Below are 27,525 nucleotides of genomic sequence, written 5' to 3'. Positions count from 1 at the left end.
ACTGAAGGCACAGATGATTGATAGCATTTTTTAGCAATAATATAGTTTCAATTAAAGTATGATGCTATTACACACTTAATAGAATATGCTATAGTATAAACATAACTTTTATATCCACTGGGAAACAAAACAATTATGTGACTTGCTTTATTGCATTGCTCTCTTCATTCCAGTGGTTTGGAATCAGACCTAAAATACCTCCAAGGTATGCCTATATAATGATATAAAGTATCACATGCATTTACTTAGAAAACAACAGGCCCTGAGATTATTAAGATAATACAATGCAGTTATTTCTCCATTATCCATGAGATCATGGTGCAATTCTTCTCATAGATGCCCCCTGGATTACCTACCACTTTGACAGCAATTTAATATATTCTAAATGGTTGACTGGATAGTCGCAATTAACATCTTGCTGTAAAATAAAATAATCAATATTGTGTAGGATCCAATAAAATAAAAACTTGGTTGACTAAAAATTCATATTGCCTTAGCTGCTTCCATCAGTTCACACTGCCTACCAAGGCCTTAGTGTAAATGAAAATTTAGAGACTGAAGACTGTAAACATGTGTGAAAACCGTTAATAAATATGCACATAAGTATCTATAATTTGGCAAAATCCTAGGAAAACTAAGTCTGATATTTATTCACAACTCTCAGCCAAATCCAGAAACTGAAAGGATCAATATTTGAGCTATCCAAGTTCAAAAAGTTTTATGGAACATTTTACTAGTACGTGATGTGCTCTGATGACTTGAATATGAGTGTTATTGAGTAAAAATAGAAAGATTTTAGAACTTCTCCTGTAAGTGGGTCAGGATAAATATGTCTTTTCATTTACATTGTAAAATGGGGTGGAAAAATCCAAATCATGAATAAATAAAATATCTGGCTCCAAGTAGTGCAATGAAGCTTGTAGACTTTAATATCTCCACTGGTTGTGAATTTTTTCATACCTGTCTCTCTTGTCTAATCAACTGGAGCCTCCATAAACATAAAAAGGATTGAGATTTGTGATATTCAATTGTTAGAAGAGAATCAGGAAATGGCCTTAGGGCAAGTTATAAATTATTATTCAAAAATTGAAAATAGTACATGCAATTAAAAGAAGTTTAAAACCTATAGCTGAAATTGAAACTGTTTGATAGTTTATGAACTTTGCTTATAGAAGTATTTTCATGTAATCTCCTTTAACTATATATTGGAAATAAAAATGTTTAAAGAAAACAATGAAGAATTAAAAACTTATCTTTGTTTTTTCTTCTACTTTTGTATTTTCCCATGTATACCATAGAACTATATGGGAAATCAAATTGCCAAAGAAATTCAAGGCTCCATGAAAACTTTTAAAAAGTGATTTCTATTATATAAAATGAAATCTAGACATGCCTTTTTGCATATATCTCTTATCTCTTTCTCTCTACACATGCATGGCAAGCACATATATGTCTCAGTTTATAATATTTCATTCCACAAAATCTATAGTGTATCTTGCATAGAAATGAAACTTAACCCCTGCATCTTTCCTTTATAAAATATAAGTCATAAGCAGAAATAAGCACATTTAATTTAGTGTGGTAAGATTAACCCTGTCTTTGGTAAAATTTAAAAAGACCACTTGTTAGGTCATGTGAGAGGTAATAAACACTAGACAAGTCGTTGAAAAATTTACTTATTTATTCATAAATATACACATGATCACATTTCATCCTATAAAAGGGAAAGTCTGTGTCATGTAATGGGACCCTAGTCTGACACAAGGCAAATTCATAGAATGGGTTTATAAGGTCTGAGTAGTGCTATGGGTTTGAATGTTATCTCCAAAACTCATTTTGAAATTTATTTGCAATTGTGACAGTATTAAGAGGTGGTGAAATCACAAGGGCTGATAAGGTTTGGATGTGTGTCCCCTCCAAATCTCATGTTGATAGGTGATCCCGTGGTGAAGGTATTTGGGTCATGGGGGCAGATTTCTTTCTTTTTTTTTTTTTTATTATACTTTAACCATTGTGGAAGTCAGTGTGACAATTCCTCAGGGATCTAGAACTAGAAATACCATTTGACCCAGCAATCCCATTACTGGGTATATACCCAAAGGATTATAAATCATGCTGCTATAAAGATACATGCACACGTATGTTTACTGGGGCAGATTTCTTATGAATGGCTTGGTGTCTTCCATATAGTGATGATTTTTATGACGTCTGGTTTTTTAAAAGAGCCTGGCAACTCTGCCTTTCTCTCTCCCTTGCTCCCTCTCTTGCCATATGATATCCTGACTACCCCTTCACCTTCTATCATGATTGGAAACTTCCTGAGGCTGTGCTAGAAGCAGATGCTGCTGCCATTTTTTGAACAGTCTGCAGAATGGTGAGCCAAATAAACCTCTTTTCTTCATAAAGTGCCCGGCCTTAGGTATTGCTTAATAGCAATGCAAACAGACTAACACAAAAGGTCTGCCTTCATGAATGAATTAAAGCAGCTATCACCAAACTGGGTTACTTTTTGTATAGGAGTGGGTTTCTGATAAAAGGATACAATTTGGCCTCCATCCTCTGTCTCTGTTTTATATGCTGTTTTGCCCATTCACTTTCTGCCACAGAATTACACAGCACAAAGGTTCTCATGAGGTACCAATGTCATTCTTTTGGATTTCCCAGCCTCTAGAATTGTGAAATAAAAAACTTCTATTGCTTATAAATTTCCACCTGTGATAGTTTGTTATAGCAACATAAAAAAGACTAAGAAAATTTGGTGTCAGAAGTGAAGATTCTGCTGTACCTGCAGTATCTAAAAAAATCTGCTGTACCTGCAGTATCTAAAAAAATCTGTACCTGAAGTAGCTTTGGAACAGGGTAATGGGTAAAGACTGGAATAATTTGGAGGAGCATACTAGAAAAAGTTCAGGTTTCTGTGAATGGGACAAGAACTACAGTAAAAGTCTGGAACATTTTAGACATTACTTAAATGCTCATGATCAGAATGCTGATAGAAATATAGATGATAAAGGCCATTCTTATGAGATCTCAGATAGAAAGGAGGAACAAGTTATTGGAAACTGAAGTAAAGGGCATTTTTATTATATACTTCCAAAAACTAGGTGAAATTTTGTCTTTGTGTTGGGTGTTTATGGAATACAGAACTTGAGATAAATGAACTAAGAGCACTGAGAGCAAGACTACCATCAAGCCTCCAGAACTATAGAGCTACTAGCATTCAATGCCAGCCTGGGATTATTGCTGGCACAATACTCCAACACACGGGAGCGCTGAGTAGACTGAGCCAAACAGAGCTCTAGAGGTGGGATTGCCTGAAGCCTTGGGGATCCAGCCCTTGCCCCAGTGTGTCCAGGATGTGAGACATTGTGTCATAGAAGATTAGTCTCCAGCTTTCACATTTCATGTTGTTTGCCTTGTTGAGTTTGGACTTACTTGGACTTGAGACCACTGATCGCCTTTTTCTTGACTATTTCTCTCTTCTGAAATTACAATATCTATTCTACGCCTGTACCATCATCGTATTTTGGAAGCAAATAACTTGTTTTGATTTCATAGCATCACAGGAGGAAAATTTTCTTCAAGATTAATTGTGCCTTGATTCTCATTTATATGTAATTTAGATGAGTCCATTAGGCCGTTCTTGCATTGCTATAAAGAAATACCTGACGTTAGGTAATTTAGAAAGAAAAGAGGTGGATTTGACTGATGGTTCTGTAGGCTGTACAAGAAGCATGGTGCCAGCATCTGCTCAGCTTTTTAGGAGGGCTTGGGGAGCTTTTACTTGTGAAAGGTGAGGTGGGAGTTTGCATGTCACATTGTGAAAGCAAGAGTAAGAGAATGTTGGCGGAGGTGCCATACACTTTTAGACAATCAGATCTCATGAGAACTCACTTACACATCACCAATGGGGTGGTGCTAGGTCATTCATGAGGGATCTGCCTCCATGATCCAAACATCTCCCACGAGGACCCACTTCCAACATTGGAGATTACAGTTTGACTTGAGATTTGATGTGGACATAGATACAAACCCCATCAATGAGACACTAGTCTTTGGACTTTGGAGTTGGTACTGAAATGAGTTGAGACTTTGGGATTGTTGGAATGGAATTAACATATTTTGTATGTGACATATACACGAGTTTGGAGGGCCAGGGGAAGATTACTATGGTTTGAATTTCCCCTCCAAAACTTATATTGAAATGCAATTACTTCATTCCTTCCCAGCCTCTAAAACCATGAGACAAATAAACTTCCACTGTTTATAAATTACCCAGTCTGTGATATTCTATCATAGCAACCTAAGATGAACTAAGAAAGGTAGGGTTAAGGGAAACCAAGAAGAAATGAGAAAATGTGCTTGTCCTAGTTAAAATGAGAGCTTTTTTCTTCCCCTATACTTTTAGTGGAAAGGGAGGATATAATTGCAGGATTTGTGGTTTTAACCATAAGTAAGCATCATGGACTTCAACAGAGGGATGTAGCCACTGTTAACTTGAAGCCCAACAGAGATGAAGCTGAAGAAAATATATTTCATGTTTACTCTCCTTCTACCCTCCAATCTTCTGCCTATACCTTCTGTAGGTTTAACCCAACTTGGGGTTAGATAGCAAACTGGCTGGTTGATACAATTCATTAGGATAAGTTTCTGGGCAATAGAGCATGATTAAATATGATAAGTAGATCTCAAGATGCAAATGAGAATATCCAGCCCTGGAATGGACTGAGATTATGTTGGTCCCTTTATCTTTTCCCTGAGTATGGAAATGCACTGGTCTTTTGAAAACTCACAGATAAATTCCTCTTGAGTGAAACTTGCCATAATCCAGTGACCTAAAAAAGTTCAATTTCTCCCAATAGAATATGAATTTTAATCAGTAATTTCCTGAAAAAATTAGCAAAATATGTATTAAAATACTACAAAGTCGATAAGAAGATGAATTCATATTGACAGTGTACTTTAAAGACAGCACATTCCTTGTTAAATTTATTTTTGTCCTCATTGGTTAAACCAGGTAGAAATAAAATAGAAGACTTAGAAAGTATTAGAATGTTTTAGCATCAGATTCATAGCGAACCAAGGACCACACCTTATAGTTAAGAGTTTCCTATGTAATTTAATGTCTAATGAACTTTTAATTTGGTAGAAAGGGTAAATGGCAAAAATGTAAATAATTCCATCAACTATTTGACTAATTTTTTTATATATAAGAAGCAATTATTTGAAAGACAAGTGTGTCATTTTTCCATATGTCATGAGATTTTCTCCCTAAATGGTCCATGAAACATGAAATTAACATGAAGAACATGGTATCTCCTAACAAAAATGCCTAAATTAAAAAGTATGATAGAGAAATGAATGCAGGATTTAGAGGGAAAAGACTTCAATTCAGGTCCAGTCTCTATTTATAAATTTGCAGGTGATCTTGGGCAAATCTTACTGTTTACAGGCTATAATCACTTCATTTGTAAAATAAGTATATTGGTCTAGGTTGAAGATGTTATCAGTCATGGTTCCACCAGAGAAATAGACTATATAAATTCAAGTAGTATATATACTTGAATATATACGTAACATTATAACAATATATACATAATGTTATATACAATATATGTATACAATATATACATAACATTATAACAATGTTATATATACATATATATATATATATATATATATATATATATATATGGATTTATTGCAAGGAATTTACATGATTCTGGAGGTTGACTAGGCAGGTCTGAAATATGTAGGGCAGGCCATGAAGAAGGGCAAGATCGAATTCTCAAGCGTAAGTCGAAGCTTCAATCCACAGGAAGAATTTCTTCTTCAGGGTGACCTCAGCTCTTAAAACCTTTCTCTTAAGCCTTTCTCTTAAAATCTTTCAACTGATAAAATCAGATCTACCAAGATTACTAGGAATATCTCCTTTATTTAAATTCAACTGATTACAGATGTTAATTACATTTACAAAATATCTTCAAAGCAACACCTAGACTAGTGTGTGCTTAAATAACTAGAAATTATAACCTAGCTATATTAGCATATAAAATTTACTATCGGAATCAAAATTTTTTGATTTTGCAGTTTAGTAAACCCTTTTTAAAAACAAAGGGTAATATAGTTTTGGTATTTGTCCCTGCCCAAATCTCATATTGAAATATAATCCCCAATGCTGGAGGTGGGGCCTGGTAGGAGGTGTTTGGATCATGGGGGCAAATCCCTCATGGCTTGGTGCTGTCTTTGCAGTAGTGAGTGAGTTCTCACGAGACTGGGTTATTTGAAAATGTGTGGCACCTCCATCCTCACAGTCTTTCTCTGTTGCCCCTGCTTTCACCATGTGATATGCCTGCTTCCCCTTCCCCTTCTGCCATGACTGTAAGCTTCCTGAAGCCTCCCTAGAAGCCAAGCAGATGCCAGCACCATGCTTCCTACAAAGCCTGTGGAACTATGAGCCAATTAAAACTCTTTTCTGCATAAATAACCCAGTCTTGGGTATTTCTTTATAGCAATGCAAGAATGGCCTGATAAGAGAGGGAGACTGACTTTGGTAGATTGGTCTCCTTTTACTTTTGCAATATGAATCTGTCTTATTTGGTAAAAGATTATGCATTAATTTAATAGCTATGTGTTAACCAATTATTAATAGCAAATAATTGTTTAAATAGAAAATAATTAGTCTTGACAAAAAGAGAACTGTTCTTATTTGTCTCATTTTACTAAAATTGTCATGGAACAACTCTAGTTGTGGATTTTGGAAACCACTGAAGAATATCATTCCTACGGTCCCTTTCAACTCGAAATTTCTCTGAATCTATGAAATCAATCAAATGACAAATGCTTGCTATATATATGGAGTTCTGAATGTTAACACAGACCAGTTTAAAAAAGGTGGTGTCTTGGTAATATTTCACCGTGTGCTTATTAGCAGGTGTTTTAGAGTCAATCACTAGAGTAATCTTGGGCAAATGAACTCATCTCTCTGGGTGCCTAAGATATTTATTACAAAATGAAAGCAATGGTGCTTACTTCTTTGGATTGTTCAGAGGTTAAAAATCTAAAGTATTTAGCACATGTAGTTCATTGGAGGTGTTTTATAAATATCGGTTATTTTTGTTACTACTATTGTTTCTTTTTGTTATACCTTTCAATTAGTTTTAGATGATCATCTTCTGGCCTTTTAGGTAGCAAGTACAACTTCTCATACCCAAGGAAAACATAAAATAAGTTCTGCCTAAGCAGACTGAGTTTCTACTACATTGTTTAAATTGTAGATATCATGCTAAGATTTTTTAAACTGTTAATCCTGTCCACAACCCTTTCAGAAAGCATTGTTATCTATATTTTATAGATCAGAACAGTGAGGGGCAAGCATTCTAAATAACTTGTTCAATATTGTGAAGCTCGATATGTAAAAAAAAAAAATCATTATTTCAACTCAGGTATTCTAATTCAAAATGCTTTGTTATTTCTCTACATATTTCTCATTCTTAACGGATTTGTCTACTTTAGCTATAATAACTAATTACTTGACAACCCATCCTAGTTCTTTCTCCCCTCTTCTCCTCATAACTTTTAATGTGGTAATGGATGTCAGTGAGATTGCAGCACTTGTTGGGTAAATTCAGCTGAAAAGGAGCACTGATACAATAGGAAAGCTTTCCCAATGTCCAATAAAAACCAAAGTTGGCCGGGCGCGGGGGCTCAAGCCTGTAAATCCAGCACTTTGGGAGGCCGAGGAGGGTGGATCATGAGGTCAGGAGAGCGATACCATCCTGGCTAACACGGTGAAACAACTTCTCTACTAAAAAAAAATGCAAAAAATTAGCAGGGCGTGGTGGCGGGCGCCTGTATTCCCAGCTACTCCAGAGGCTGAGACAGTAGAATGGCGTGAACCCGAGAGGCGGAGCTTGCAGTGAGCCGAGATGGCGCCACTGCACTCCAGCCTGGGCGACAGAGAAAGACTCTATCTCAAAAAAAAAGTTTAACTGCCTTTCAGTATTTCCTCCGAACATCTGTGTTTTTTTGTTGTTGTTGTTGTTATTGTTTTGTTTTGTTTTTTAACTTGCTTAATTTTTTCTTCTTTCATGTACTTCTTTGCACTGGGTTATCATACCTTCACTGGTACATAGAGGTGTGCCAGATACGAATGATGTTACATATCCTGACACTGAAAATTCAGAGAAATGGAAAACAAATGGTCTTTGATTTACTAGACATTCCCGTTAAAACAAACAAACAAACAAAAATTAGAATATAATACAGCAACTATTCACTTGGGAAGGCTATTACTTCAAATACCATAACAATATGCATTACTATTAATATAATAAACTCAATTCCTTTGCAGTTTGAAAGTATATTTAAAAAAAAAAAACTCTGTGGTCTTTTGCATTGTATTACATTATAAGAGGGCATTTTGATCTCTGTGAAATATTCACCTGATGCCTGTGACATATTCATGCAATACAATCTTTTGCTCAGCAACACAAATGAGTTTATTTTCAAAAGTTAACTGAGTACATTGAAGTTGGAAGGCAAGTTTGAGTCATGTTTTCCACTTTTGGGTTGATAAGTCAACTTAAGGCATTGATCTTGACAGATAATAGTAAAAACTGTTCAAAAAACATTATTCAAATGATAAAATATTTATTTTAATTTGAAATTGTTCCTTAAAAATACAAAAGAATATAAAATCACTTTACTTGCAGAGATAATCTTATTCTGCTTCCTTAAGTTGCAAATCATGCACTGTTTCATCCAATAGTTTTCTATTTTACTAAATTTCAAAAGTGGGTCAAAAATTTTAAATGTTGCCTTCTTGATTTTGCACTGTGTTAAGCATGTTAGGACAGAAGAATGAGTGTACTTTGAGTGTTCATCCGGCCAAAGTGTTCCAAACAGCACTCTGAAGAATGGTAATATGAGGCTGCCTACATCAGAATTACCTAACTGAGCTTGTTAAAAATAGATTCCAGGGGCCGGGAGCGGTGGCTCATGCCTGTAATCCCAGAAGTTTGGGAGGCTGAGGCGGGCAGATCACCTGAGGTCAGGAGTTCAAGACCAGCCAGACCAACATGCAGAAAACCCGTCTCTACTAAAAATACAAAAAAACTTAGTCAGGCGTGGTGGTGCATGCCTATAGTCCCCTCTACTCAGGAGGCTGAGGCAGGAGAATCACTTGAACCAGGGAGGCAGAGGCTGCGGTGAGCCGAGGTTGTGCCATTGCTCTCCAGCCTGGGCAACAAGAGTGAAACTCTGTCTCAAAAAAAAAAAAAAAAAAAAAAAAAGTTTCTAGGGACAAATTCCATTACAAATTCCTGTTCTACTAAGACAGAATCTCCCAGAGTAGTACCTGAGGATCCCTGTTTTAAATAAATCCTGAGGACAATTCTCATGCCCAGCCATGGTCAGTAATACATCAAGTCCATTTCTTTCCTAAATATAGGGTATAGAAATTATTCCACAAAGAGGAGACATAATTCTTGTTTTAGAAATAATATATTTCTCCCATTTTTCAATAGCCCTTCTAATATTTCACAACTTTTGGCTTTTACTTATTTTTTTTTTAAACAGAATAATTTTTTATAGTTCTCTTCTGGTATACACATTATGTACAGGGAAAGAGAGGAGCTTATATGAATACAAATACAGTTATCTCATAATACTTTATAGTGCTGATAGAGAAAATACTGATTACCTACACACGTCTTAATTATTTCTCTTATTTTCCTAAAATCTCCTCTTACCTGGAATACTTTCTCTTCTTTCCACTCCCCTTTTCCTTCTGTCCCAGTCCTCTTAGCCATAGCTCTTCACGTTGCAACACATACAATTTTAGAATAGTTTTATCACTTTCTCATGCTTGAGGGTTTTATTTGCTTATATATTATATGCAATTGCTATAGTCAACTTTATAATTTTCTCTAGCTTGGAATGCATTTCTAGCTTATTGAGCTAAAATGTATAAACAGTAAAATGCACTTATTTATACGCACAGTTAGATGAATTGTAACGACTACATATACCCAAGTAACAACTATCCAAAAACAACAAAAAAAGAAAATAGAAAATTTCTATCAATGCAGAAAATATACTTGTGCCCTTTTGTTGGCAATGCCTCCACCCAGAGGTAGTGACTGTTTTTATTTATGTCAAAATAGTTTAGATTTACCAATTTTTTTATTTCATATTGAAGAAATATAAAAAGATTTTTATAACTGTAGATTTTTTCATTTAATATATTTAATATTTTATATTCCTTTATATTGCTTGTCATTTGAATACAAGTGTTTTGGTAGATGTATGTTTTCATTTATCTAAGGTAAATTTCTGGTTCAAAGGGTAAGTGCACATTTAATTTGATCGAAAAACTACCTATTGGGTAATATACTTATTACCTGGGTGATGAAATAATCTGTCTACCAAATGCCTATGACACGCAACTTACCTACATAACAAACCTGTATGTGTATACCTGAACCTAATTTTAAAAAACCTGCAGAAGAATTTTTCAAAGTGGTTGTAGTATTTTACACACCAAAAAATATGATAATCTGAATTACTCCATATTCTTGATAATATTTGCTATTGTCAGATTTTTGTCTGTTTGGTTTTCTTGTCTTTCTACTGGTAGTGTAGTCATACCTGAAAGTTAGTTAGCATGTATTTCATTGATGACTATTGACAAGGAACATTTTTTTCCTGTGTTTATTAGCCATATATGTTAAAATATATATTATATATAATATGTAGTCTATATATTCTTTAATGTGCTTTTCAAATATTTTAATTATTAATTTGTACTTCTGTATAAATTCTGGGTAAGTCCTTTGTTAGAAAGTATTGTGAATATTATCTTCCAATATATGGCTTGTCTTTTCACGTTCTTACACTGACTTTTGAAAAACAGAAGATTTTGACCTTAATAAATTCCAATTAATTACTTTTTTTAACTGATAGTTTTTATGACCTATATGAAAATTTTTTATCTTCCCCATGAAATGTCTATTACAAATTTAGTATCTTTAGTAAATATGTAGCTATTTAGATTTTTTATTTCTTCTTGTGTTATATTTGGAGTTATGTTTTTAAAAATATTATGCTATTTAATTACAAAGTTGATGGCATAAAGCCACTTATAATATTTCCTCATTATCTTTTTGATGTCTTTAGGATCCATAGTGTTATCTTTGCAAATATTATTGATATCAGTAATGTGTTTCCTTTCTCTCATTCATTCTCTTTTCAGTTTTTCATGATTAGATTTTCTAGTCAATAAAATCAATTGTATTACCCTTCAAAGAGCAACCCTCTTTAAGAGTTGCAGTCTCCCCTCTATCACACAGGCTGGAATGTGGTGGTATGAGCATAGCTCACTACTGCCTCCAACTTCTGGGCTCCAGCTATCCTCCTCTCTTAGCTTCCTGAGTAGCTGGGTGATATGATTTAGATCTGAGTTCCTGCTCAAATCTCACGTTGAACTGTAATACCTAGTGTTGGTGGTAGAGGCTGGTAGGAGGTGATTAGCTCATGGGGACAGGTTTCTCACAAATGGTTTAGACCAACCCCTTGATGCTGTTGTTGTGATAGTGAGTTCTTGTGAGATCTGGTTGTTTAAAAGTGTGTAGCACCCCCCCACCCATCTCTGTTTCTTGCTCCTACTCTGGCCATGTGAAGTGCCTACTTCCCCTTAACCTACCTCCATTATTGTAAGTTTCCTGAGGCCTCCCCAGAAGCCTAGCAGATGCCAGCATCATGTATCCTGTACAACCTGTGGAACCATAAGCCAATTAAATGTCTTTTATTAATTATCCTGTCTTGGGTATTTCTTCATAGCAATGCAAGAACAGGCTAATACACTGGGGCTACAGGGATGTGCCACTATACTTGACTACTTTGTTACTTTTTTTGTAGAGATGGCATCTCACTATGTTGCCCAGGCTGTTCTTGAACTCCTGGGATCAAAAGATCCTCCTGCCTCAGCCTCCCAAAGTGCTGGGATTATAGGAATAAGCCACTGCAACCAGCCAGCAAACTTTTGGCCTTATGATTTCTTCTATTATTTGTAATATATAGCCCATTGATTTCTCATTGTTCTATTTATTATTCTTTTTCTTCTACTTTCTCTCTGTTTTGCTAGTTTTTTTAGCTTGATATGAAAGTGTAGATAATTGATGTTGAATCTCTATTTTATTATAAGCATATAATCTTATATATATCTCCTCTAAACAAAGCTTTATCTGCACCCCACAAATGTGTTGTAGTTTCATTAATGTTCAGGCCAAATTAGGTTTCAATTCCCCTTGTGTTTTGTTTTTTATCCCATAGGTGATTTATAATTGCATGTTTTCCAAATGTTTTGACATTTTCTAGATTTATTTTGGTTATTTAGTTCTAATTTACAACTAAGACACTCATAAAAGACACTTTGAGTGACTTCAAGACTTAACAATTAATTGTGTCCTATTCTATGAGAAGATACATTATCTATCTTGGTAAATACATCATGGTTACTGGAAAAAATGTGTAATCTGGAATTTTTTTATATGTGTCAGTCTTTAAATGTAAATTAATTCAAATTGCTTAAAGGTTGTTCAAATTTTCTATATAATTACTGATTTTTTCTGTCAATGAGAGAGAATTAACAAAATCTACAATTTGTGGATCTCTTTATTTCCCTACATAAACCTGACAATCTTTATTTCATGCACTTCGAAGCACCAATGAAGCCCATATTCATTTAGAATTTTTATACTTGAATGAATTAACACTTGTATTAATATACAACCAACTTCGTTATCTCTGGATAAAGAATCTACTTTCCAGTCTGTTTTTTCTGATATTAGTATAGTCATTTCAGCTATCCAATGATGACTTTTGCATGATATTTCGGTTTTCATCCTGTTATTAATAAAACAATTGTTTTTAGATGTTACTTGCTTTCCTTATATTTAGTCAGATATTTCTATTTAATCTAGTCAATCTCTGACTTTTAAATAGTCAATATAGTTGAATTTATGCCCATTATTTTGCTATTTTCTATTTGTCTCTACTATCTTTATTTATCTTTTCTTCCTTTTCTTTTTTATCTTGGTAAAGCCAATAACTTTTACTATTTAAATCTAACTCACATTTTGACTTTAAATTTACATCTCTATATTTTTAAGTAGTTTCTCTGGAGATTTTCTGTGGTATAGCTTACTGCATACTGTCTTATTTCATATTACCATTTTTACATAATATGTAACAAACTGGTTACTCTATAATTACATATGTAGCTCTACCCACACTTTGTACTACTGTTACGTACTTTATACCTACATACCTTACATACTTCACATTTATTTGTTATGACTCATGCTTTACGTAATTTAAAGTTTTTAAAGATAGAAAACTTATCTAATATATTTATCCATATATTTAACATTTCAAGTACTATTCCTTTTTTTCTGTGGAATTTACTTTCCATATGGTGTCATTTTCCTTCGGCCAAAGAGTATTCTTTTGTTTTTGTTCTGGGGGGGGTGTGTGTGTGTGCGTGTGTGCAAGTGTGTGTGTGCATGTGTGTGTGTTTGATAGCACAGGTCTACTTGTGACAAATTCTTTCAGCTCTCAGTTTTCCCAAAAATGTCCTTATTTTGTATGTATTTTGGAGAAAAATTTTACAGGATATAGAATTCTACATGGAAATAATTCTTTCAACACTTTAAAGTTGTTATGCCATTTTCTTCTGGCTTTCATTACTGATGGAAATTCAGCTTTCAACAATATTAATGTTTTACTTTACATAATTTGTTTTTTTCTTCTCTTGCTTTTAATGGTTTTCTCTTCTGAAATTTGATTATGATATTCGTAGGTAAAATTTGCTTTGTAATTTCATGGTATTTGCTGAGCTTCTTGGATATGCAGTCTCCCCTTTTTGATCATACCTGGGAATTTTTTAGCCCATATTTCTTCAAAAATTTATTACCCTAATCTTATCTTCTCTTTTGATATTTCAAATATATATTTATTAACTCATTTGATAGTGTCTCACCAACCAATAAGCTTTCTTGATTTTCCCCCTCTAGATTTATTTTTACCTGTTTTCTGGTTCACTGATACTCTCATCTACTGTTTCTAATCTGCTATTCTTTTTTAGATTTTGCATTTTCTTCATTTCTAATATTTCCTAAGTAATGTTTATAATTTTTAGTTTTGTAAATTTATACTTTTATAGTTTTTATAATTTCCAAATACTTTCTGAAAATCTTTACCTTCATTTATCTTTTTCTACAGTTTCTTTCATATATTTATTATAGTTATTTTAAAGTACATGTCTGCTCCTTACAACAACTGGGTTGTTAGTACATCTACTTCTCTTTCATAAATTTTCTCTTGACAATGAATCAAACTTTTTCTGTTTTCTTTTATCCCATTATTTTTATTGTATTCCAGAAATATGGATGACACATTGTATAGACCTCCCGTATTTTCTTATCTTCCCCTAAACAATGTTAAGTATTGTTGTATTAAGCAGTTTAATTACTGATAAGTCACTTTCAACCATTCATAATTTAGTTCTATGCTTTGTTAGGGTAAGTCTACTTTGCTTTTGCTGTTAATTTTAGGATGAATGTATTAGTTTTGGCTTTATGCCTAACGCCTTCCTAGAATTTACTCAAAAGGTTAGCTTGTTTTTTTTTTTGCGGGGGGAGGGCGCGGCGGGGTGCATTTTAGTGAGAAGTCTAATACACTTTGAAGTCTTGCTAATTTCACGGGACTTGAACTCCAAACTCTTTTATCCCTGTAGTGGACAGCAGCTGTAATCTATGCTAACTTATTTCAGTCTTTTAGTTATTGTCTCTTTCTAATATGCTTATAATCTCACCTGCACATGCGTGTCAGCCAATGATTTAAAGAGAATTTATTTTCATTTTGAGGTCTTTCCTTCTTGAAGGTTCTTCCTACTTATATTCCCTGAAATTGCCAGCTTTTCTGGTTTTTATATTTCTTCCCTTTGACTTTTAAGTCCACAAACACTGCGACCCTCTGCTTGAGTTCTAGCGGCCTCATTATATTTTCAGGTGCTGCCCTTGAGGGGAAGCTATATACAGATTGATTTCATCAATGTGGTTTTCTTTCAAAAGACACATTCCTTCTAGATTCTTTCTGCATTAGTCACTTACCTGTGCCTTCATACAGTTTGTTTTTAATACTTTTCCCAGGATTTATGTATTATCACTGGGGTGGGGGGGTGGTTAATTCAATTAAAACTATTCTGTCATCACCAAAACCGAATCAGAATCACCTTCTTCATGTTGTCTAGTTATGTCTCTTTTTGTCTTCATTTGTGTGTGCGTATACCTGTGTGTATTAACTTCTGTTTCTTTCCTCTCCCTGACTCTCTTTCTCTCTCTCAATAATAGTTGCTAAATTTATGTATACAGAAGGACTTTTGTTGTTATTTTCAAAAAACTCTCTTAGAAACCAAAAGATATGGAGTAGCATAAGATCTATTTCCTGTTATTAGATTTTTTAATTTATATAATCATACCACAAAAATCTCTTGAGTGACTACTATATAGAATTATGCTAAGTAATAGAAATATTAAAGAGATACAGATATAAATGAATAAATCAGTTTCACACAGTAATATATTAAATATCTGAATTAATCTATATATGATTTCAAACATAATTTTAATGTATAATATGTTATTTAATGTACAATTACTTTTTGTATAACCAAGATGTCTCTATTTTATAACTATGCCTTATACTTGTTACTCCTTTTACTCTCTGAGAAATATTTACAAAATCAGTTTCCAGGGCCCTACCCTGCAAGATTTTAGACTATGATACTGTTTATTAAGCTCTCTGAGAGATTCTGATATATAATTAAATTTGTGAATCACTTTTTCTTATTATATATACATATCGAGATACTTTTGCCCCAAAGCCTAAGAAAATTTTATTACCCAAGTATTGTAAGCAAAGAAATATATTCTATTTTCATTTTTCATGTGTGTGTTGAAAAATATCTCCACCTTTGAGCTAAGAGTCTGATATCCCTAGCTCTAATATTTTGCAAAGTTATGTACCACAGTAATGGCTTAAAATTGTTCTAAAAGACTCAATAGAGGAAAACCGGATTAAAAAATAATGTTCATAAATTAAAAGTGTTTTTTTTTTTACTATTTTGGTCTATACCATGGTGGAAAAAAATCTCTTTCCCACCTATCTGCATATTTCATTGCTAGAATCAAAATGATGTTAAAATAACTATTATCAAAGGAAACCAAAATATTACTCTCTAAAATACTGGAGATTGTTTAGCTAAAAAGAAAGGCTAAAATGCAGGGACACACTCTGCCACTCTTCTCTGCCTTTCCCATCTAAATGTAATTCCATTTACAACACTTGCTGATGAGCTCAGAAACAGAGCTCAGAGACAATGGCACCAGAGGATCTAAGAACAGACTTTAGTCTTCCCCTAAATTTACCTTCACACATTTTCTTGCCATTGAAAAGCCTCAAGATGCTCTCTTCTTTGTCATTAATATGAGTTATGACTCTTTACTAAACTACTACTTAAACAAGGCCCCTAACTACCGCCTTAAGAGAAAAATACTTTTAAGCTGAGGCTTCTCCCACATGACAGGTACGGCACACATTAATAAACTTCTGGGGTGTTGTTGCTATTGTTGTTGTTGTTAATCTGACTTTTGTTTTCAGGAAAGTGTTTCAACTAAAATTCTAAAAACAAAGAAAAAGTATTTTTTCTTCTCTACAATTTGGCGACCCATATGGGACTAGCAGATGCACTTTACTCACCCTAAGACCCACAGATGGAATCGAACTGGTAGAAGCCTGCAGACAAAGGCAAAATTTCTGACCAAAGTAAGCTTCTCAAGGCTTCTATCTGTGGTACCTGGTCAAGAAAAGAAAGTAAAAATTGTTTCTTGTCTCTTCCTTTCTAGTTTCTGATTGGCGAAAAAACATTTATAATAATTATCTGTTGGGGGTACCTACTTGGTTATTGATTTTTAGTTTTCCAAGGATCTTTGTTTTCCTTGTCTCTCTCTCTTTTTGTGGTTTGTCATGAGGAATAAAATCATAATAAGGTTCTATTTTCATTTTGTTTTGTTTCTTGAGAAACTTGGCTTTGTAACCAGTGAATTAATTCTTTGATTTCTACCACCCTGGAGGACATAAATTGTTGGGTTCATGTCAGTTAGCCAGCTGGGAGGCCAGCTGGGAGGCCAGCTGGGAGTCTGAAATGTCTGTTTGTCCAAATGCACCAAGCTCTCAGAAATATGCCTTAATTATCTCAACCTTCATTGCCTTGTTAATAATGAGGGTCTTTACTTAGGGCCCCTAAGCTACTGCTTTAAAAGGAAAATACTTTTAAACTGAGTCCTGTCCTGTATAATGGGTATAGCACACAATTATATCTCTTTTTTTTCTTTTTAATAAACCTGACTTTTGTTTTCAGGAGGATGTCTTAAGTATAAACCAAAAAGGGAAAAAATATGTTTCCTTTCCTACAATATTTGAGGTGAATGTCTTATCTAGATTTTCAGCATTTTATAAATAAACTAGACTATGATCGTGGCAGGTATTGCTTTTCCTGAACTCATTCTGCCAAAATTGACATCTTCTCCTGGGACTTAGAGAAAGAGGTGTTATTTGATTGATTGCTGGCTAAAGAACTTTGAAGTGAAAGCCTGGTAGTGGGTAAAGAAATTATATTAGACAAATTGTGATAGGAGTCTCAAAAAGAGAATGCAGAAATGCATGCCTGAATATAATAGGTACTCTACAAAAATAATTAAATAAGACCCTTTTCTTAACAGAAGTTAATCAAGAATTTAGCCATATTCTGGAATTCCATTTATTTCCTGCAAAAGTGTCATAGTCATATTGATGCCCCATCTGTGGGATTCAATTATAAAGATGTACACATATAGGATTTCAAACGATGAATATAGGATGAAGCTGTCAAATATTACTATTTTTCAAATTATGTTGATTTGGTGTATCTTAAGAAATAGCATTATAGGTAATAATCAAGTTTTCTCTACCCATCTTTTTTTTCAGGGAAATTTCAAGAATGTTAGAATTCTAAAGATAGACTCAATGAAAAAATAGGCTAGTAGATCTCATTCATGGCCTTGATCATGAAGTTTCTAGTATTAAATTGGAAGTCTCAAGTTTATCTCTGTAAAGAAATTAAACACTTTGAGATAGCTGGTACTTTATAGTGTTTCAGTGATGATGTGTGACCTTCTATACAACATTACATTTTAAAATATTAATGCCAATATTATTTAATGAAGGTGTGATATTTACATTTCCATCATAAACTAAAACAAAGATCTCAACAGTAATTTATATTATTTTTCATGAAAAAAACAATCAATTTCCATTAACAAGTTTTATTCTCTAAATGGAACTCAAAAGTATGGGCCGTTTATATCCTCTGGAAAAAAATTCATTATAAAAATAAAAATATATAAATAAATGAAAAGATTCAAAGTCTAAAATTAAGCAATAAACAAATATAAAAGTCTGTGACATTTGACTATAATGGGCCATGATATTGAACAAAACACAAAATTATTGCCACATAAGATAATATGGTGTCAAGAGAAAAATGACCACTTTGACTTTTATTACTATTATTGATCTCTAATGTCAGGCACAAAGCAGTGATTTGGCATGTGTTGATTATTTTAAATATTGCCTAACGAATGAATATTTAATGGAAGTGAATTGGCAAAGAATACTAGGAAATGTCTCATTTAACCACTAAGGTTATTTTAATGAAGTGTTTTCTGCCCTAGAAAATCTGTGAAACAAAAAGTAAGCAAGGGATTATTAAAACCAATAGTTTAGATTCATTCAGGCAGTTCATCATTCTGATTAAAGGGATTTCTTACGTAAGAGAGGAATTTATTTGTGCTTTGAATTTTTTTCCTTTATTTCTTTTCTTTTGAGACAGGGTCTCACTCTGTCACCCAGGCTGAAGTGCAGTGGTGTGATCTCGGCTCACTGCAGCCTCTCCTGGGCTCAAGGGATCCCCAAACTGAGTCTCTGAAGTAGCTGAGACCACAGGTGTGCTCCACCATGCCTGGCTATTTTTTTTTATTTTTGTTGAGATGAGGTTTTGCTATGTTGCCCAGGTTGGTCTTGAACTCCTGGGGTCAAGAGATCCACCAACTGCCTTGGCCTCCCAAAGTAGTGGGATTACAAGCGTCCAGCCAAATTTTCTATCATCTTTTAAATATTTTTTTAAATAAAAAGCTTAGTCTGTTTGAATGACAATGAAAATTCCAGTCCAGGTCAAATTATCTGGCGTTATTATAGAAGTCTGATTAGATATTTTAGTTTATAGTTCTATCCATTCTAGCTGCCCACACAGGATATCATTATGCTTCATGTAATCAGCAAGTGTGTTTTGAATAAATAAATGCAAATTCTTGTGAATTCCTTCCCTACAATATATCTTAGATTAGTCTATTTCTCTTGATATCTACTACACTATCATGATCCAATGAAATAGCTTCCTAAATGGTCTCTTTACAAGCACCTTTAACCTATAAAGCTGTCAAGCTTCCTCTGAAAACACATCAGATCACATTACCCTTTCTTCAATTGTTTCCCTTCGCACTGATGAAATTGAAAATCTTTGCTGTTACTCAAAAAGTCACTTAGAATTCTTACTCTGTCACCACATGCCACATGGTTTAGCTTCAATCACATTGATCTTTTTATTTTTTACATTTCCTCAAAGAAACAACTGTCTTTCCACAGTTATGGTTTTGGTTTTTGTTGTATTCTCTTCCTAGAAAACGCTTTCCCTGTGATAACATGACTGAATTTGCTTTCCGCTCTGTTTATAAACTCCCCCAAAGGATCTTTCCTGATTACCATATGCAAAAGGCATATCTCTCTTCTCATGTTTTCCCTTTCTCCCTATCCCCCATCACACTATTGTTTTCTGTCACTGTATGAGGAACATCTTGTTACCAACACAAGACATACTGATCCCCTTGAATTCTCTGTGAATGACCCCTTTGGATCAGAGTATGTATGTACAACAAAAAGGACATGTATCTTCCTTTCATATGCACAGCTCACGCTATACTGCTGAAAGAGTAAACGATGTGCCATCCCGAAATGCACCAAATTAGTATATTGATTATTTTGAGTTAAAAAAATGGAAAAAATGTAGTTTCAAAATGGATTAGCTGACCGTTTCATCCTGCATGCAGCAAGCTATAAAGATTCCTTTGGGAGGGATATCCTCTTCATACAAGGGTGAGAAAATAGCCCTTATCACCAGAGACTGGGAGTTAGTGGCTGCAATGAAGCTGAATAAATATACATAACGAAGGAACCTTTATCTTCCACTGGATCTGCACCCCCAACTCCCACCAATATATTTCCTAGTGACTCTTCTAGAAATTTACTGTCCCAGTCAGCTTTTCTTTGTCCCATCATTTCCTCTCAAATGTATCATTCTTTGTCTAAAATGTATAAACACATCTTGCCTTGGCCACTTCTTTGGGGAGTTCATTCTCTTGTGAAGATTCCTATGCACATGTGAAACTAATAAAATTTGTATGCCTTTCTCTCATTAATCTGCCTGGAGTCAATTTGGTTTCTAGATACAGCCAAAGAGCCCACATAAGAGCTACAGGGAGGTTGGAGATGATCTCTGTCTCCCCTACACCATGCCTATCCTGTTATCTCTGCCTATATAACAATTGGTTACATTTTAAATCAATGTTATTTCTTCATTTATGTGTTTATTCTGGTCCCTCTTTTTGCCTGGAAACTCCATAAGAACAAGAATCATGTCTGTTTACCTTTGCAAAAACAAGCCTTGGATGTAGAAATCCCTCAATAAGTATTTGCTAAATAGATAAATGAAAAAAATATAATTTGATAGAGTTAAGATACAGAAAAGAGCAAAATGCAAAATTTCTTAATTATTTGTGAGAAATGACAGGTTTTTCTTTCTTTTTGCAAAAATAAATGTAAAGTTTCTTCAGAGCATATCAGAGACTTCACTAAACCACTGTTTAAGAACTTGGACTTTGGTCTTATCTCTTCAACACTATATTAAAAATCCTAAATGTTTTAAATTATGTAGATTAACATTCATTTGAGATACTTTAGGTAAAACTTTTAATGGGAAAGTCATCCAAAAAAGAAATGTTAAATTAAAATTAAATTCAGTGTAAGTATAGTTTTCAAGCTCTGATTTTAATTCTGGAAATGCTGCCTTCAACCTACCATGTGAAAAATTTTGATAAATGGTAAAATAATTAGATTTGGAGAACTATTTTTATTGAGAAACAATCTCTCTCCACATATACTCGCAACTATTACCTGACTAAGCCAAAAGAATAATGGTATTACTAATGGCTAGGTAAATATCTTTCCATTAATGTGTTTTCATTAGCACCATATTTTTGATGTTTTCATTCTTTTAATTGTGTGGAGCACTGATGCTTTTTGAATTAGCTCTCATTGTCTGAAAAAGGTTACTTTGGTCACACGATTTAACTACTGCAAAGCAGTTCAAGCAGTTAACAGTGGGGTAGGGGAGCAAGAAAAATAATAGGATATCTCCTTACAATAATAAATTTGGACTTTATTTCAGTTTTTAGTTTGATCATTTATATTCCTGTCTGCAGAATTTTGACAAGGCTTAACAAATTGTAAATGGATACTTTATAGAGTAAACATAATACTATATATCGCAGACTATCTTAAGTGAGTTTGACTGATTCATCTGGGTGGGCAAAGTAGAAGTTTTACAGTGGAAACATCTTAGGCATAGACTACACAACAGGAAAAAAAATGATAAAACAAATTTAATTTCAAATTAATTTACTAAGCAATTAAGAACTGCCAATTTAATAGTCCAAAGTTACTAAACTATAGCCTGTGGATCAAATCCAGCTCACCTACCATTTTTGTAAACAAATTTTTATAGGAAAAAGCCATATTCATGTGTTTATGCCTTGCGTAGGGCTGCTTTTGACTACAATGGCAGACTATCTGGACTACAAAGCCAAAAATGCTTACTATGGAGTCCTTTAGTGAAAAGTCTGCCAACCTGTAACAGTTAAATGGTCTCACTTTATGGCAAATGGCTTAGATAACATCTTCTGCTAAGATATTTTTCTGGGATCCACATAATGATTACAGGGCTCAAAAGAGAAATGAATTTTTCCATTTGTTGTGCTAAGAAAGCCATCAGCTAAATGGTACCTAAACAAACTGAAAGAGTAAATCATCTTTCAAAAGTCCTATTGTAACCTCCCTGTATATGTGACAGCACTTGACCCAGGGCAGTGATAAAGAATAAATAATTGGGTAAGGGGTAGTTGATTATTTTAGGAGAAATTCTGTGCTAGGTGGGAGTTCAGCAAACACATACAAATTTAGGCCTTCCCAGATCCCATAATCAAAACTATAGTTTGGAGAGAGCAATCCATCAGGCACATGTGGATACCAGAAGCTGAGATAAAAAGCACCTCAGGAATTGCAATCCAGGTGAGAACAGAAAGGCCTAAAGGGAAGGCAATGCAAGGGGCCAGCATTCACACTGTTGACCAAGAAACAAGAGGCCCACAGAAACGAAATGCAGGAAAGAATGGAAGAAGACATAAATGGAAGCACCAGAGGAGGGCAATCTAATTGCTCTGGTTTCCATTATGAACAGGTCCTATAGCCTGGCTGGAGCTTAGCACACAAAGCTTCTGTGCTGAGCAGAAATCCAAACACCATTCTAGCCTTGCCCTCACCACTGATTGTACCCTCACCCACTCAGCTAGCAGCTCCTTTAGACCCTGACTGTTTTCATCGTTACTCACTTTCTTCTTTCCACATTCTTAGAACGAATGCCCTTTGAATTAACCAGCCGGCCACTTGAAACCGCTTCTGCCACCTGACTCCAGTTGATTCAGAAAGCCATTTTTTCTCTTTTTCAGTTTTTGCCCTTTATTTTTCCATAATCACTTTATTTATAATAGAACTATGATTCTTAATCCTAGCAGGCCCTATGTCCTTCTTTAATAACTTTATGATATGAAGCCCTCTTTAGCATTCTAATGGAATTTACAAAGTATATTAAATACTTATTCATATTACTTAAAAATCAACATAATGTCCTAACAGTAATCTAGTAATCTATAAAAGAAATCTAAAAATAATTTGTTATAATTTGTATTCAATATGTAAATGCTGTGGCATGGCTACTAGAAAACTTAATGGAATGATCATATGCTTGCTTCTGTATATAGGATTATTAATGAACCATACATGAATTCAAATTGAAAGTTATATTGATGACTCAAATATCCAAAAGTGACCTTTCTACTCATGTGATTTTCTCTAAATGGTATAAACCACTCCTGTTGAAATTTCAAACAATAGAAAATATAATATTCAATCTATTTACATGATATTTTTTCCTGGAAAATTTAATGACTATTCAAATGATGAAAACTACTATAATTTTAACTGTTATATGAAGACATGTTTTAAGATTATATTTCTACAGACATGACTTTCACACTAATTAATAGGCATAAATATATTTGGAAGTTCCATGGAATGATGTACAATATTTTTGATAGGTGGGGCATTCTAGAACATTGCAGGAATACTAGCATATTGCCTATTTCCTCCTACCTTGAGAGTAGTGCTCCCCTAATTGTGACAACAAAAAATACCCTGAGGACATTATGCTCCATTGAGATAGAGTAAGTAGTGAGGAACATGGATTCCTGGCTCAGCCCTCCTGTTGTCTATACCTATCCTTTTGTTACGGTTTTGGAGCGCTAACTAAAAGATTTCACGCTGTGGGAAATAAAAGTACTGAGGAAATTTCAGAAACAAGCCAATTTTCCTGTTATAATATTCTATTTTTAAGGCTTAAGTTTCCTAGGAGTTAAATTTAGAAACAGGGGAGGGGTTAATAATAAAGGGAGGGAACATAGTGAGAAACAGGATAAGTCCAGCATATGGGGTGGCATGGCCACGTGGATATACAATTATTTCACTCACAAAAAACTGCATTGACAATAGGCTTAAAGTAGGACCTCATTAAATACTCATTGATAATTTACATCAGAAATTCTAGATAAAGGAAACAGACTGGTTGTTGATAACTTCATTGGTTTGTACTTAGTTTCTGTTCAACATACTGGTAACGACACTGAAAGACTAAGAACCACAAATACACTTTCCAGGAGATGATAAAAGTCACATTTGTGAATTTGCCTTCTGTTTAAGTTCCAATTAGAAAGTATATGTTAATAAGCTTATTTCTGCTTTATGCCTGAAGCACAGGTGTTATCAGTAAAAAAAGCATGGCTTTCTAAGGTGAATACAAAATGGTGAAATTCCAACATACTTGTAAAACCCAAGAGGATTTTATTAATTAATCTACTTCTGAAGCCTCAAATAAAATCATAACATATACAATATAGAAAAAAGCAAAGGGTATGTGAGTTAGAAAGGGGAACACGGGATAATTCATGTATTTGTAATGACCTTATCCATAGAGATATCTGCCAGAAAACTGATCAATCTTTAAAAATCACTTCCCATTTTACTCCTACTTTTAGCCTTACCCTTACGATACATGCTAAATTCTAAACATTCTCCTTTTTTGTGTGTGTTTTGGTGAGAAAAAAAAAATGTTTAAAAATATCGCAAGGACAAAAAACCAAACACTGCATGTTCTCACTCATAGGTGGGAATTGAACAATGAGAACACATGGACACAGGAAGGGGAACATCACACACCGGGGACTGTTGTGGGGTGGGGGGAGGGGGGAGGGATAGCATTAGGAAATATACCTAATGCTGAATGACGAGTTAATGGGTGCAAAAATTAATTAAAAAATAAAAAACAAACAAACAAAAAAATACACTAGCCCTGCAATCAACTTTAGCATTTCTAATTTCTCTCACAGTATGAAATAATGTCAAAATATGTCATTTTAAAATTTCAAATATCAGTATATCATATTGAAATCTTAGACTGAGCAGATTGTGAATTTTAGTTTTCAATGCCATATCTCCGCTCTTCTTAAAAGTCCAAAAAAGAACACTCAAGAGAACGTGGCAGGTTAACATGTGAAACCGACATGCATCGTGGGAGCCCATGTGGTGGACATCTGCCCACACCTCCTCTATATATGCCATGGGGTGCCACCTGAGGGTTAGGCAAAAAATAGACATAAGCAAAAATAGAAGCTAATTCTGAATCTTTCAGTCAGACCTGGGATAAATCACTTAACACACACATCCATTTCCTTGTTTTCAAATGACAAAATGCTTTTTCCCCCAGAAAAAAAGTAACTAGAGGTCTTTAAATGAAAGACTCTGAGTCCTATTTTATTAATAATGTATTATTTTTCTTCTAAGAATAATGATTCTGAGGCACTTATCCCCCAAGCCATCATCCATCAGGGAAGGATAAAGCATTCATACTGGTTGCCTGTATTTCAAATGATTTATTGTTAATGCTGAATATATATCTTAATGACTTCAAGCTTGAGCGGTGCTGTGAAACCACAAAACTTGATGTTTCAGATTTATTTTTCTGTTCAGATAAAATTTCAAGTGTGTTACAAGCAATTAAAGTATGGGGAAAACCTTTGTTTCCATTTAGACCTTTCACAAACTTTTAAAATTATATCACCATCTCTCCAACATGAAATAGTCTCCAGCTGGGAACCTATGTTGGAATAAAACAGTGGTGTCTATGTCAGGTTGAAAAGCTTGCCTGCAGAGATCACCTACCAACTTTATAAGCCAAAGCACAGGAAAAACATCAACATCACAAAATTCTGGCCTTTGGATATTACTAAGTATTATTAGGCAGGATGACATCAGCCTTGGATATGAGAAGGACAGAAGCTACAATGCTCATTAAAATTGTCTGCAAATAAAAATACTAATAAAAGATGCTAGAAAAAGTTTTACAACCAGAAGTGATATCTGCACATTTGTATGTCGAAACACATAATTGACTGGCTACCGGGCATTCTTTTCTTGTAAAACAGTTTATTGTATTTCGTGGATATCAGGGACCAGGTAAGAATACCAGGCTGTGCATTCTGCTTTTATATCTTCTCTAGTCCAAGAGTTCAACTCTCCCTAGCTTGTTCAAAGCACATGAAGTGCCTTCTTACATTTTGTGAAGCAGTAAATTAAACTAACATGTTTGCACAAAGATTTTTCAAGTAGTTCTTCTATTACATCATTCTATCATTTTATTGTTTTCCTCCCCTGTACAAATACACACATACTGTTCTTTACATTTGGTCTCATTTGAATCAATGCTAAAGCCAAAAATATAAGATGCAAATGTGGGAGAAGTAGAAGGACAACATATCTTTAAGAAAATTTAAAGATAACAATTGGAATTTAATTTTTCATTGCTATTTTGACACAATGTAAAAAGGAGCAAAATATATTTCTACTTTCTTCTTAAAATGTGAATTTATGGAACTGTCAGATATAAAAACATTTCAAAATCGTCATTATGAAGACCAACGTTACTGGCCTTTAGGACTGGTGATATGTATTAGTATTAATCTAGGTTTCATGTCCCCAACAGGAGACTAAACTGAAAGTTACAAAATATGTGTTAGTTAATATTCAACAGCAACCTTTTCTTCTATCAAAACTATGCATTAAAAAAGTGATGAACTAAAAATATATGTAGGCTCTATACCTTGTTCTATCAGAAAATAACAAAGCAACATAGAACTAGTCAGTTTCCCTGATTGGCTGATCCAACTATACACTGCTTCATCACTGATTATAATTTATTTTATGTATATAAACACATTTCTGTGTAATACACATGACCTCTTTTATATTGGAAGATCTAAGAACTAGAGTCATGTGTTCTCTGACAGTGGATAATTAATCACATTAAGAAATGCAGAAATTAGGTAATGTCAGGGAAAGTGGCATAGTAGGGAATTCTGGGGGTTCATTTCTCCTCATAAAAACACTAAAAACTCTAACAGAAACTATCAAAATCAATCCTACTGGAAGTCATGGAGCCAGCTAAAGATTTAGAGCAACCAAGCAAAAGAAACCAGGAGAAAGGCTACCTAAGCATGGAATATGATCTTTGTAGCATTTTAACTAACCCTAGCCTTCTCTCCCTCCCAAACATAGCAGTCTTGGAGACTGTATTGGTCCATTTTCATGCTGCTGACGCAGACATACCTGAGACTGGGCAATTTCCAAAAGAAAGAGGTTTATTGGACTTACAGTTTAACGTGGCTAGGAGGTCTCACAATCATGGTGGAAGGTGAAAGCATTGGTGGCAGACGAGAAGAGAGCTTGTGCAGGGAAACTCCCCTTTTTAATACCATCAGATCTCATGAGACTTACTCACTATCATCATAACAGCATGAGAAAGACCTGCCCCATTATTCAATTACCTCTCACCAGTCCCTCCCACAACATGTGGGAATTCAAGATGAG

At 34.2% G+C, this 27,525-nt stretch overlaps 1 long non-coding RNA gene across 1 annotated transcript in view; it reads right to left on the bottom strand.

Annotated features, from left to right (window-relative positions):
* The window catches only part of DISC1FP1 (DISC1 fusion partner 1), a 663,821-nt gene that overhangs the window by 96,369 nt on the left and 539,927 nt on the right, over positions 1-27,525 (bottom strand). Inside the window, exon 4 of the long non-coding RNA NR_104190.1 lies at positions 16,822-16,918. This is a non-coding gene — a long non-coding RNA (DISC1 fusion partner 1). The remainder of the gene's footprint in view (positions 1-16,821; positions 16,919-27,525) is intronic.

This window comes from Homo sapiens, chromosome 11 (assembly GCF_000001405.40).
Source record: "Homo sapiens chromosome 11, GRCh38.p14 Primary Assembly".
Lineage (NCBI taxonomy): Eukaryota > Metazoa > Chordata > Mammalia > Primates > Hominidae > Homo > Homo sapiens.
This window is presented reverse-complemented; position numbering and strand designations above follow the sequence as displayed.